Consider the following 12,658-nt stretch of genomic DNA (forward strand, 5'->3'; position numbering starts at 1 on the left):
TTGACAGGTGAGGAGACTGTGGACACAGCAGGCAGTGGAGCTGGGATCTGAACAACAGAGTGAGTGCCTGGCCGCGCTTCAACCAGGCTGCTCCCCACCCTGGAGCCACGCCAGTCCCTCAGAAGCCCGGTGTCCCCAACACAAACACCAAAGTATGCTCGTGCAAGCCAGCACATGCATGCTCTGGCCTGCCAGGGCTTCCAGCTGGGCCCTTGCCACAAACGCCTTTGTCTCTCCAGCTTAGTCCAGGCACGACACTCATGGCTGCTTGTGGCTGTTCGGTCCGAGGCTCTGGGGAGGGATGTGAAATCCTGGCTGTGGAAGTCTACAGGAGCCCAGAGGCCACCCTCAGTCCCAGATGATCTGGCTTGAGGAGTGAGCCACAGAAACTGGACATCCAGACAGGAGAGGCCGACGTCAGTTGGCCGAGTGGCCCGCAAAGAACGAAAGGAGATGGGCATGAGCGAGCCCTCCCTCCCACGAGGTGAGCCTTCTCCCGAAGTCTGGGGAGAGGCCCTCGGGAGTCCTGCTGCCCACGTGTGTAGGGGAGCAGGTCTGAGGCCTCCAGGAGCGGCAGCCACAGTGGTCAGGACACAGCTTCGGAGGCACAAACCTGACAACTCCACAGCCCCTGGCTGGGAGCCCTTGGGCAAGCGGCTCTGGCTCATGGGCAAAGAGATTAGAAATAAGATACACTGGGTGCTTGGCAATGTCAATAGCAGCCACTCTCTTTATCCTGATCCTAAGTCTGCCCCAGGCCCTCTCTTAACATGACAACCCTGGAGAGAAGTCACCAAGGGATTCCCGATTCACAGCAGCATGAGAATGTCAAATGCTCCCCAGGCCTCTGTGGTCCAACAAGACTGTGCCCTACTCCGCGAGCCTTCCTTCAGCCGAGGGCTAGGAAAGCTCTGGGCTCCACGTGTCTTTGGGTTCCAGCTCTTAAGGCCAAAAAATTAAGAGCAAGGCATGGGCTTTGTTTTGGGAAAAATCAGAGCCATCCAATGTGGTGCCCCAACTTGCTGGCCAAGAATAGACAGGTTGCACTTAGCGCTGACAACAGGCCTGGAGACAGCGGGTCTGACATGAGTCTTCCCGGGCTGACGCCGGAAATGGCTGTGCATTCAAGGGAAACCATTTGGCCTGCGCCACTGAGGACGAGTTGAAGCAGCAGGCAACACCTTCCTTTTCAATGTGTGTTAAGTCACTTGTTTATTTCTCAAGATGTGCACACTCAAGTATGAAGCTGGCCGGGACAACTCATGGCTCCTAGGTATGTACAGGCCCTTTGATGGCTTGGGTTACAGACAACCTCATAGCTGGTGCACCACACACACGAGATAAAACAGGAAGCCTAAAAACCCCAAGCCACACCAAGAAAAATGAGAGAGGGGAGGGCGGGGTAACAATGCAGCATCCCGCGGAGGGAACTTAATGCACAAGGAGGGAGAACAGAGGGTGGAAGGCAAGCCAGCTTCGTCTTCGCCGCCGCAGCTGCTGTGTGGTGGTCAGGGGACTGAGTTCAACAGGTCCTTCAGGAAGCTCTCTGGATCGGTGATTTCTGATAAAAGACCTGCAAAGCACAACGGGCAGAGGTGTGTCAGGAGCAGGCATACAGCCCCCATTCCCCCTGAGTCACAGCTGCCGCATCTAGCAGAGAACACACTGCGGTCCGACAAGCTCTGGCCCGGCTGCTCACTGGACAGCAGCATGACCGGGGAGGTAGTCATTGAGCAAAACCCTGTTCCGCAGGAGGAGTCCTGTTCCAGAAGCAGGCACTGCTGGAAGGTGTTTTTGTTCTCACATTTGAATAGGGTGTGTCTGATGTTCTGAAATTTTCTAACAGCTTAAACAAAGTAATAAAGTGGTGCTGTCAAAACCTGACCTAGGAGTGGAAGGCACGGAGGCTCGCTGCCTGGCAAAGGCTCTGGCTCTCCCTGGCTGCAGGCCAGGGGTGCTTGCCAGCAGCTCAGGGCTGATGTGGAGCTCGAGCCCAAGGGACCCTCCTTCCTCTGCCCACCTCCTCCTCCTCTCACTAGCTCCAACTTCCACAGTCACAGTGACACAGGCTCATGCAACAGGCACAGGGCCCAGCACTGAGGACTTTACCAGCCCACCTGGTCCCAGGGCTGACTTTCTGGGAAGAACGCGAGGCATGTGCTAAGGTATGATGCTGGTGAAACATCTAGGCTGAAACAGAGCCAGTGGGAGCCGTAAAGAGGTGGTGGAGTTAACAAACACACAGAGGTGAGCAGTGTTAGCACAGGCCCGCCCAGACGCGGAGGCAGGCACCAGGTCGACGAAGACCATCCCAGCACAGAGCTTCCGCTGAGGACACTGCAAGGGGCAGCCAATGCGGAGGCACAGAGCTGTTTGGGAAAATCGGTCAGCTGGCTCTGAGCTGGGAAGAAAGAGGAATTCACACTGAGCAACACTCTAGCCCTTTAGTGGGTCTCATTCCCAGAGGATAACAAGATAGAGAAAATGTTAGCAGAGGCGTTCTCCTAACAGTGGGATCTGGGGGGAGTTTGTTTTCCTGCTTCTTTATACTTTACAAAATTCCCACAACGAATGCCATAAAAAAATGAAACAAGATCATAAAAAAGAGCTGGCAGGTTTGGTTACCTGTGCGTTGGCTCTGGGGAGCTGACCTTTGTAGGGCGGGTGCTCTGATGGGGGCTGTAATGCCGCGGCGCCCACAACCTCACAGGGCACTGTCTTTTAACCCTAGGTGGATTTCCCAGGCACGGGCCAAGTCACCTCCCCCTGCTGTCACTTGGTGCTTGGTTATGAAATACAAACCAATTCTAATGTGTTTGTTTGCAATTAGAATGACAAATTTGTTACACAAAGAATTTCAATTTTACTAGCAGTAGGATAAGGAATTGTCTGACCACGTCTCCCACACCCACAGTTCAGAGCGGCCCTGCTGGGTCGCCCATGCCTCCCTGGGGTCAACTGTGACCTAAGACGCAGGAGGAAGACAGGGGCATTCCAATTTGCATGTTAATTCTCTGAACTGCCATTAAAAAACAGACTCAAACAGGGATGCTATCACTTTCTAGCTATGTTCCCTTGGCCACTTATTTGATCTTCAGAGCCTCATTTACCCCATCTATAAAATGGGGATAACCAAAGCTCCTGCCTCATATAGGGCTGCCTCGAGGGCTGAGATCACATACAGTGAACAGCCCATGTCGGGGAAAGAGGGGGTGCTCAGTACATGTTAGAGCTGCTGTTCTCGTTATCGGTGACTTGCTATTTACGCATCTTTCCCAGGGCTTTCAGTGGCAGCTGACAGGCTGGTTCATACTGCGTTTCCTCTGGTCGTGAAGATAAAGCTACGGATGACCCACGGAGGAAGACATGGGGCTTTGCTGCGGAGGATCTTTAAAAGAGAAAACCTTGACACTAACCGGCCACATCGAGGAACTCTGAGAAGGTCTCCACTGGCATGAACTCCTCCTGGAAGGTTTTCAGGGCTTTGTCGGCAGCTTCGTAGATGGGCATGTCGTTGTGGCGGATGTACTCAGCGAGAGAGCAGGACCAGCCTCCCTCTGTGTTACTGGTAGGCACCTTCTACGAGAATCAACAGGAGACAAGAGAGGTGGGTGACTTACTGCTGCCTCATCTTCCGCCTCAAGTCAGTCAGGCCATTTCAACCCCTCAAAGGACAGCCCTCCCAACCTACACCAAAGCATACCAACAGGCACCCTAGAGCGTGCGTTTTGTCTCCAGGAACGACACAATTTCACTTCATTCCTCTTAGGCCCTCCTTATTAGGCACTGTGTCACCTGAAGCTACAGGCTCCAACAAGTGGCTGCATTCCCTCCCCGTACACTTCCCATTCGCATTCCCCAGAGCAAAGGGACTTGTCAATGTGCTTCCATGAGCTGTCTCATTCCGATGATGAAAGGAACCAACTCAAAAACTCAGATTCTCTCCGGAGAGGAGTGTCCTGTTATAAGCTGGCTGCGGTAAGTCAGACTCACTCAGGGCAACAGAGCTTATCCCAATAGCACGGCAAGAGCAGCAAAGAGAGACCCGGCGGGGAAGGTCTTCCTGCACAGCCGAGTCTGGAGCAGGCTCGGGAGCAGGTGACAGGAGTGATCTCAGCTACAAATGTGGGCCAGGCACAGTGGCCCATGCCTGTAATAGCAGCACTTTGGGAGGCCAAGGCAGGCGGATCACCTGAGGTCAGGAGTTTCAGACCAGCCTGACCAACATGGTTAAACCTCATCTCTACTAAAAAAACAAAATTAGCCGGGCGTGGTGGTGCCTGCCTGTAATCCCAGCTACTTGGGAGGCTGAGGCAGGAGAATCACTTGAACCCGGGATGCAGAGGTTGCAGTGAGCCGAGATCACGCCATTGCACTCCAGCCTGGGCAACAAGAACAAAACTCCGTCTCAAAAAAACCAAACCAAACCAAACCAAACAAAACCAAACAAAACAAATGTACCTCACAGACACAAGGCTCCAGGCTGCCAGTGTCAATCCCTCCCACAGTTGGGGTTGTTTGTTTCTAGGAAAAAAGCGCCCCCAGGCCCAGCGGAGGAGCAGCCATGTGGGTGCTGAGGCAGAGTCAGGGACAGGAGTGCAGACATTTTACACTCTTGCCAAAACCCACTGGGCCTCTGACAGCCTCCTTACCTTAAACATGTTGTAAATGAGATCGACGAGGGCCCAAAAGAGAAGGGAAGAACGGTAAGCGGAATAGTCCTTCACTGCCTTATCTGTCAGCCTGGAAAAGAAAATCCAGTTCCATCACATGAAGTCCCTAGGAGGATACTCACAAGGACAGAGCAAGGCATGCTGGGAGCAAGGGAAGAGTCACAGTGGTGTATGCATCTCGGAGTTCCAGCGACTAGCCTTCTGCTTGGAAAAAAGCAGCTGTGGGCAAGAACCTCTGGAGCCCTGGGACCCAGAAGTTTATTGGTTACAAAAATGCTCCATGAAATTCATCTGATTCTCTCAGTGCTCATCTTCCAGATCAGGGTAAAATGGAACCGGGGGAGACATCGCCAGGGCAGACGTGGCAAATGCAAGGCTAGTGACTTAAAGAAAGGCAAAGGATTCCTATGTATCCCTTGTGTTTGGGCCCCGACAAGCTCTTGGAATTTGATGGAACCTAATAAATGAGGTAGGAAACAAGGTTTTAATTCAGTCTTTACATTCCCACTAGGAGAAATTTCTTAAAAGCCAGCAGACCTAAACCAGTCAAACACGGTAACTTGTCAAACATGTGCTGTGTTAAATGGCAGCAAGCTGCTAGGAAGTTGGTATCAAGCAATGGTAATGTCTAAGATGGAGCATGCAGCCACCCTGACATCACCTAAATCCTGGGATAATCCAAGTTGCTCACCACACCCCATTGTTTCTAACCAGTATCGTTGCTACTTAATCCAATGATTCAGTTCAGGATTAAAGACCAGCCAGTTCCTTGGAATATGGGGAGCGACAGGCAGGGGGAGACTGCCTCTAACAATGTCCACTGCCTTCTCAGCAGAATTCTTGGTTTGAGGTTTGAGGAATGATTACACCAGGTAGAGCCAGTATGAAACACAGAAATATCAGGCTCCCCTCGGCACAGACAGTGAAATATCAGTGTCAGGATTCAGTTTCTACCACCCAAGCTCTACGGAGGTTTTGTTTGCCAACAGCCATCACATCTGTAATAAGTAAAGCCTAGGTGAGCCCTTGTCACAGAGTATTCTACACCTCAAAACACACTGGAACACATCCCATGACTAAAGGGACATATATTAAAATGTTTAGTATTAAAATGCATGGGTATATATAAGAATCATAAAAATAAGAAACATAGATGGTATTCATTATAGAAGCTAAAACTATATGGGCCTCAAGTGAAGGGGCTGCCTAGCATGAGACAGGCTATCCACACCTGCATTCAATAAATAACTCGCAAAAAACAAATAATATTAAATGGGGACAATTCCCTCTCTACTGAAATATGCTTCCTGTGGCCTCCCTCTGCCCCAGTACCTTCCCAAGCCCCCACTTTCTCTCCCGCATACGTGTGATGATGCTGCAGCCTAAAGTCCTGGAAGGTGGACCCGTGGATGAGGACAAGAATCCATTTCTCTGCAGCTCTTTACCCTGGCAGACAAGATAACAGATCAAGTTCTGACAGACGCCTGAGAATGTCCCAGGCTTTGTACTTGCAAGTTCCTGGCAGAGGAACTTTTTTTCTGAATGTCAAGTGTGCAGAAGAGGCCAGCTTCTGCTGAGCTACATTTCTGTGTCTCTGCTACTACCCCTTACCCCATGACTTACAGGACTTAGGACAAAGCCTGCCGCCAGTGAGGCTGCCCCAGCATCAGGATGATATCTCTACACGCCCTTCCAGCCGCGGTCTCTCCCCCATGGGTCTCCTCCCAGTATCGGGCTAACCCACAGTGCCTTTCCTAGTCTGCCTGATGAGTGCCGGGCTCACGGCCCCGGACCACGGCCGTATTTGGCCCTTTGCTGTGGCTGTTGTGCTTTGGTAAGCAGAAATCCTGAGTGACCCTGCCCAACTTAATTATTTAAGGCCAATTAGTAAAGGTGACGAAACTGCTACAGAGAAAACAGCAACTCATGAATGTAGTAGCTCACACTGGATTTCCTAATTAAGCTGTGACCAAATCAGCTTTTCCTGAACTGCCTGGGACAATAATGAATGCTAGTCTCCTAAGTGAGAGCAAAACAGCTCCTGTGGGTTCAGATTGCACACCCGCCATGGAGAGACTGTGCCCAATAAATGGCCACTCTATTTGCTGTGGATGCAGCATATGGATACTGGCCAAGCCTGACTTATCAACTTAGTATTCTCAAGATCTAACTTTTGATTTCCAGCAGCTAGTTAACTATTAATTCAGGCTCTTGGGAAATACTGGAAAGTGATATGTTAGGAATGGGGGCAGGGGTTACCTAGGAATCTAACAAGACGCCCCCTCCCACTCTCCAGTGATGATCTGGTACAGGCCAGATTCAACAGGACAGCTCCAATCTGGTCTCTCTGGGAGCGTGAAGTGCCCACAGACCAGCAACGCTTGATCAATCAGGGCTAATGGAAATAAAGACACCAGGTGTGCCAATGAGGGCACAGGCTATTTTCCACTTGGCTTGTCTTTATCACGGCCCTAAAAGTTTCTCTCTGCTCCCTGGATGGCCTACAAATGTGGACATGATCCCTCGAATCCTGGGCTAAAGCAGAATCACAAAAATCACAAACCCGATCTTCCAGAAATGAAGCAGAGGCACATTTCACTCGAGGGACAGAAGCAAAATGCCAAACCCAGAGCCTGCTCCGTAGCTCCCCAGGAAAGGTAGAGACTGTGTGGGGCCATTGGCAGCCTGAGTGGTACCCATGGGGTCTCCTCTGCGCACAGCAATCCATGGGGGTCCTCAAAGAGATGCTGTGGTGGCAGTTTCCAGCTGTTTCTCTTGAGACCATCTGTCCCAAATCACAGCCCAAGGTCATAAATCAAAGACCACTTCCTTTCTGACATGCTCTTTCTTGGGGAGGTGTCCACACGTATAGGAGAGTGGTCTAGAGGAAGAAAGGTTCATGGAATGTGGGACGCATGGGATAGGAATGTAACCAAGAAGAGAGAATGAAGACGAGTTTTTAATTATTAGAAAATACCCCATGTGGCCACACTGAAACTTTCCTGGCTTATGCCAACACCAGCAAGATGTGGAAAACCTGATTACTGTTCTTAGCCCTGATCATCTCATTGGTTTTATCACCCTGTGCCTGGCTGCCTTCCTAACATTTTCTACAGTAGGTAAGACTGGCTCTACCTTTCTAGTAGCGGAACAGAAAACCCAGAAATGACCAGGCAACCTGCCAGCCATCAGCTTAGACTCTTGACATGACAGACTGAGAAGGGAGAAGGGCTGGTGTCAACCACCGCAGTCACAAAGCATGCCTTCACCTAGCACGTGCGTACCACTAAGCAGCTTTTCAAAACTGATGATGGGAAATAGTGAGCAGCAGCTTCCGGAAGCAGGTACTGACCTGGTGGCTCCACCTGGAGCCACTGCCCGAGCCTGCGAGGTCACCAACAGCCTCCGCAAGATTTCCACACGTGTGGCTCTCCACTGCTCAGGGGGCAGGATGTGAAGGGCCAAGACTGTGAAATAGTAGGGCCCGTCCACTTCAAAGGCACTCTCCACCCACTTCTCCTTGGGCTGTTCCAGAAAGCCTTGGAGGTTCTTCTCTTCTCGGGAAGTTGCTCGGGTTCTAGAAGAAAAGCGGCATGATAAAATAAAAGCAGGGTGGAAGCAGGACCCGGCAGCAAGAGCAGGAAGAATTTGCTCAATTTGTCGTTGTCTTGTGACATTTGCTGAACGCTTGGATGACTCAACACTCCCCACCCATCCTTGCCGACTACTCCCACTTCCTCTGATAATCCACGCCCTTCGTCCCCTTCCAGGCCCTTCTTCGCGGCATCTTCCCTTCTTCCCTGGCCCCATGTCTAGCTCCTACCCCAGCTCTAATACAATTCCAAGCAACTACTGGTTCCTGAGCACCATATATCAGGGACGTTCACAATCTCCCCAACATGGAACTGTGCTAGTAACTCCAGAGGCCCAGAAAAGTGAAGTGACTTGCCCAAAGTCAGCAAGCTAGTGAGTGATGGGGCCAAAAACATGAATCAAGATTCCCTGGTGGGTCCACAGCCTGACTCCCCCTTGCTCCACATAGTCTTGTTATGTTATGTTTACATGGTTTGCACTAAATGTGCATGTGGTTCCTTTCCTAGGCTCCCTCTTCCGGTTTGTCTTCTTCTGATCTAGGATCCTCCCGCCTTCGTTAGAACAGCCTCTTCCAGATGAGCGCTGCTTCTTGTCCTCATGCGTCCTAAGTTGCAATGATGATGATGATGATGACCACACCAGACTCAGTGCCAGGCACTGCTCTAAGTGCTTTACGGGATTATTTCACTTAGTACTCACAAGAATGCTATGGGATAGTGCCACCACTATCCCAATTTTAAAGAAACAGAAAACTGCAGTACAGAGGAGGTAAGGATTCTGCCCAAGTCTCACATCGTGGAAAAAACTGTGTTCTGAAGCCAGGTAGCCTGTCCATCTTAACCCTACCTCCTTCTCCACGCTGAAGCTTTGACAAAAGGTCACGGAATCAGCACTGAGAGGTGACTTAAGTCCTTCCTGATGACACGCTTCTGGGTACACTCTCTCCTTAGATCCTGAATGGTGCTCTCATGCCATGAATGCTTGATGCCCTATCCTAACTCCATGGGGCACTGGTAGGGAGAGGTGGGGACAAACACAACACTAGAACCGGGAAAAAAAAGTTACCAGGTCTATAGGTGGCACTGGCACAGATGCTGGACTCTGGGAAAGCAGGAGGAGAGGGTGCAAGGACACCCTGCCTGCTTCTGCTGCCTGCAGATGGGCATGGATGGATACATTCAACTTGATCTTCCAGCCCTGTAGGGAATCTGAGGCTGTTGGCTGCTGCAGGATCTGCTCAGGCTCTGGTCTGGCTTACGGTGGCCATGCTGTGACATACTTGCCTCCATAAACAAATATTCCACCAAAGGCACTCAGCCCCACTGTGACCAAGCTCCCACCAATGTCAATTGGATAGCTGTCGACTGGGAAGCAGTCTGGGCCGAGAAGCAAGGCCTCTCTGTGAAGCTTCTGGGTCAGCCTCTGGCTGACCAAAGAAACTGTGAGACAGCCAATTCCCTTTCCAATGAAGGGACCTGACAATTACAAATGTCTGGCTTGTTCAGAAACATACTGACACCTAGTCACCCAGGGCTCTGTCCAGGGCCCCAGGAACACTGAGAAGGAGCGAAATTTGGACAGTGGGAAGGTCTGCGCCATCAGTGCTGCCAGGTGCTGCTCCCGCCAGTCTAAGCAGTTCAGCAGATGATGTAATGCACTCTGATGTCAACCTGCCCCTGCGTGTTTTAACAATGAAGCCTGTGGTCTCGAGGTCAGCCTTTTAACTCACAAGGAAATGGGAGGGAAGGAAAAGATAACATTGTTGAAGAGAAAGAACTAGAAAAGACAAGAGACAGATTGTCCTGTTGCCTAAACTGTGCTGCAGCTACCCGGGGTGAGCTGTACACAACCTTTCAACAGGGAACCGTAAGCCTCTTGCTAGGAGATGGGGCCTACAAGCATGAAACAGTGAATTAAATGGAAGAGCTAAAGGATAGTCAATCTCCTAATTTTTTTTTCTTTGAGACATGGTCTTGCTCTGTCACACAGGCTGGAGTGCAGTGGTGTGATCACGACTCACTGCAGCCTCAACCTCCTTGGCTCAAGCCATCCTCTCACCTCAGTCTCCCGAATAGCTGGGACTACAGGTGTGAGCCTGGCTAATTTAAAACAATTGTTTTTTTCATTAAGACAGAGTCTTGCTATGTTGCTTAGGCTGGGCTCAAGCAATCCTCTTACCTTGGCCTCCCAAGTGCTGGGATGACAGGCGTGAGCCACCGTGCCTGGCCTAAGTGCTTCTTTAAAATTACACTTCCAGGTACCAACCTAACTGTCCCATAATGTGCATATGGATAAAACTACCAATCTCTTTTTTTTCCTGGCTGCCTTCCTTGTCGGTTGACTTTCCCAGATAATCTTGAACATTCCCTTTCCCTTCACACTTGCCAGAAGCATTACCCACTGTAGAGAAAACAGGGATAACAAATCCAGTTTTCCATTTATGAACTGGGTCCTCAGCTCTGCTGCATCCCCTTGATGGGAAACCATCACCTGTAACAATCTATATGCCCTTGACTAATGATGTGGGCACAGCTCCGACCTGTGGCCTCCCCCCATTCAAGAGAACAGTCTGGAAAGTAGAAGTAGCCGCTGCATCGAAGTAGAGGCTTCAGTGGCCTGACTTTTCCCACTTCCTGCTCCCCTGTGAGCTGAACGTCAGTCCAAGGATGCGGTCTTGGGCTGCCCATGGTGGGAGACAGGGCAGTTTGGGGGAAGGAAGTTCCCTTTATTGCTTTTTCTGCATGGCCCTAAAAGAATGCAGATGAGCATCCCCACCTCGGCAAAAAGGCTGCCTTAGGCCAGACGCTTGCTCCGGAACTAGCATGAGAGGCTATGAAAAAGCTGAGGGGATCTCGGGCAGAGGGATGCAGGGTGGGTCTGCGAGATGCCGCCCCTGGGACACAGGGTACTGACGTGTTCAGGACGTAAAGCACAGTGTGAATGATGTACGGGATCAGGTGGATGTTGCTCTCCCGGCCGCCCCCGCCAGTGTCTGCGCTGAACGACTGCTCCATGGCGAAGCGCAGGAAGAGCAGTTTGATGTCATGGATGTTGAGCTGATACGTGGGCTCCCGCTGGCCTGTACATTCCTGGAGGTAAGTGTTGTGTCTAGAGGGAAGCAGAACAAACAATGAAATGGAAGTGAGTTCCTGGTGAAAACCCAGTTTGGGAGACAGAGCCTCCTTCCAGTACTCCCAGGCCTGATGGCTGCAAAGGTTTGCAAACGGAGACAAGAATACAAGGGAAAGTTGAGGCCAAGGCTGGGGCCAGCAGGACGACAAGGCCATAGGACGTTTTCATTTCTGCAGTGACTGAACGTGACACTCGCCAAGTTTTGATGAGAGCCCACCACTCTTGGGCGCCCATTTCTTAATGAACTAATGTTGTAGGACATACCGTGGCTGCATGTGGAGTACATTTTGGAGGAAGCAATGTAGAACTCATCCATTCTGACTGACAAAGTGACCTGTCCATAAGAATGAGCTCTTCAATCTCCAAATAAAAGGGTTTTTTGTTTTTGCTTTTGTTTTTCCTATGTCAATACACATTCCCATCTATCTGGGCTGTGCCTCTTATTAACTGGGTGACCTCGAGCAAGTTGCTCAAACTCTGCATCTCATCTGTACAATGTATACAAGAATACATGCCTGGCCGGGCACAGTGGCTCACACGTGTAATCCCAGCACTTTGAGAGGCCGAGGCAGGTGGATCACCTGAGGTCAGGAGTTCCAGACCAGCCTGGCCAACATGGCAAAACCCCGTCTCTACTAAAAATACAAAAATTAGCTGGGCATGGTGGCAGGCACCTGTAATTCCAGCTACTTGGGAGGCTGAGGCGGGAGAATCGCTTTAACCTGGGAGGCGGAGGCTGCAGTGAGCCAAGATCACGCCACTGCACTCCAGCCTGGGTGACAAGAGCAAAACCCTGTCTCAAAACAAAAGAATAGAGGTTAAGCATTTCAACATGCTCTCCATTGTCACTGCCAGCTGCCTGTTTTATGACAGGCATCTTTTTATCCCTGAGCTTTGAAATAGGACTTGGGGTGGGGCACCACTCCACAAGGCATCAGCAAGACATGAGGACCTCACAGATGCTTTAGCTATTCTTATCTGGGTTTTTAGGACCAGGAAGGCCTTCTAAGGAGCCCAACATCCCCCCTGCCACTAAGCCACTTTCGTATTTAAACCTCAGAGCCACACACTGTAGAAGTGAACTCAGAAATTCTGGCCTCAAGGACCAAGTTGGCCCCACATCTTCTGTCATAAGATCAGCAAAGGAATAGTGAAGACCCAGAAATTTCATCTGGTACCCTGGAAGCTAAGGGTGCTGGTTCCTCCCACCCTGTGGTGGGCCATGTCAGGTCACCCCTTGAGTAAGCCTCCATCCCCCA

The 12,658-nt window shown here is 50.8% G+C and overlaps 1 protein-coding gene across 50 annotated transcripts in view, besides 2 other annotated features; it reads right to left on the bottom strand.

The window, feature by feature from the left end:
* UBR4 (ubiquitin protein ligase E3 component n-recognin 4) overlaps nucleotides 1,187-12,658 on the bottom strand; it is a 135,757-nt gene continuing 124,285 nt past the window's right edge. For all 50 annotated transcript variants that reach the window (XM_047416518.1, XM_047416514.1, XM_047416523.1 and 47 more), the window contains 5 exons: nucleotides 11,181-11,375; nucleotides 8,026-8,250; nucleotides 4,653-4,743; nucleotides 3,417-3,579; nucleotides 1,187-1,573 (listed from right to left, as the gene is read on the bottom strand). In XM_047416518.1, coding sequence (XP_047272474.1) covers nucleotides 1,509-1,573; nucleotides 3,417-3,579; nucleotides 4,653-4,743; nucleotides 8,026-8,250; nucleotides 11,181-11,375 — 739 coding nt within the window. In that variant the 3' untranslated portion in view covers nucleotides 1,187-1,508. The remainder of the gene's footprint in view (nucleotides 1,574-3,416; nucleotides 3,580-4,652; nucleotides 4,744-8,025; nucleotides 8,251-11,180; nucleotides 11,376-12,658) is intronic.
* Nucleotides 4,081-4,249: a silencer, noted in NCBI's record as "fragment chr1:19403898-19404066 (GRCh37/hg19 assembly coordinates)". NCBI's record gives its function as "represses an EF-1alpha promoter that drives an FKBP-Casp9 reporter gene in an ReSE screen in K562 erythroleukemia cells {active_cell/tissue: K562}" and the evidence as "EXISTENCE:reporter gene assay evidence [ECO:0000049][PMID:32094911]".
* Nucleotides 7,772-8,971: an enhancer, noted in NCBI's record as "P300/CBP strongly-dependent group 1 enhancer chr1:19407589-19408788 (GRCh37/hg19 assembly coordinates)". NCBI's record gives its function as "activates an origin of replication core promoter dependent on BRD2, BRD4, P300/CBP, MED14 and CDK7 cofactors, with strong dependence on P300/CBP, by STARR-seq in HCT116 cells {active_cell/tissue: HCT116}" and the evidence as "EXISTENCE:reporter gene assay evidence [ECO:0000049][PMID:35650434]".

This window comes from Homo sapiens, chromosome 1 (assembly GCF_000001405.40).
Source record: "Homo sapiens chromosome 1, GRCh38.p14 Primary Assembly".
Classification (NCBI taxonomy): Eukaryota; Metazoa; Chordata; class Mammalia; order Primates; family Hominidae; genus Homo; species Homo sapiens.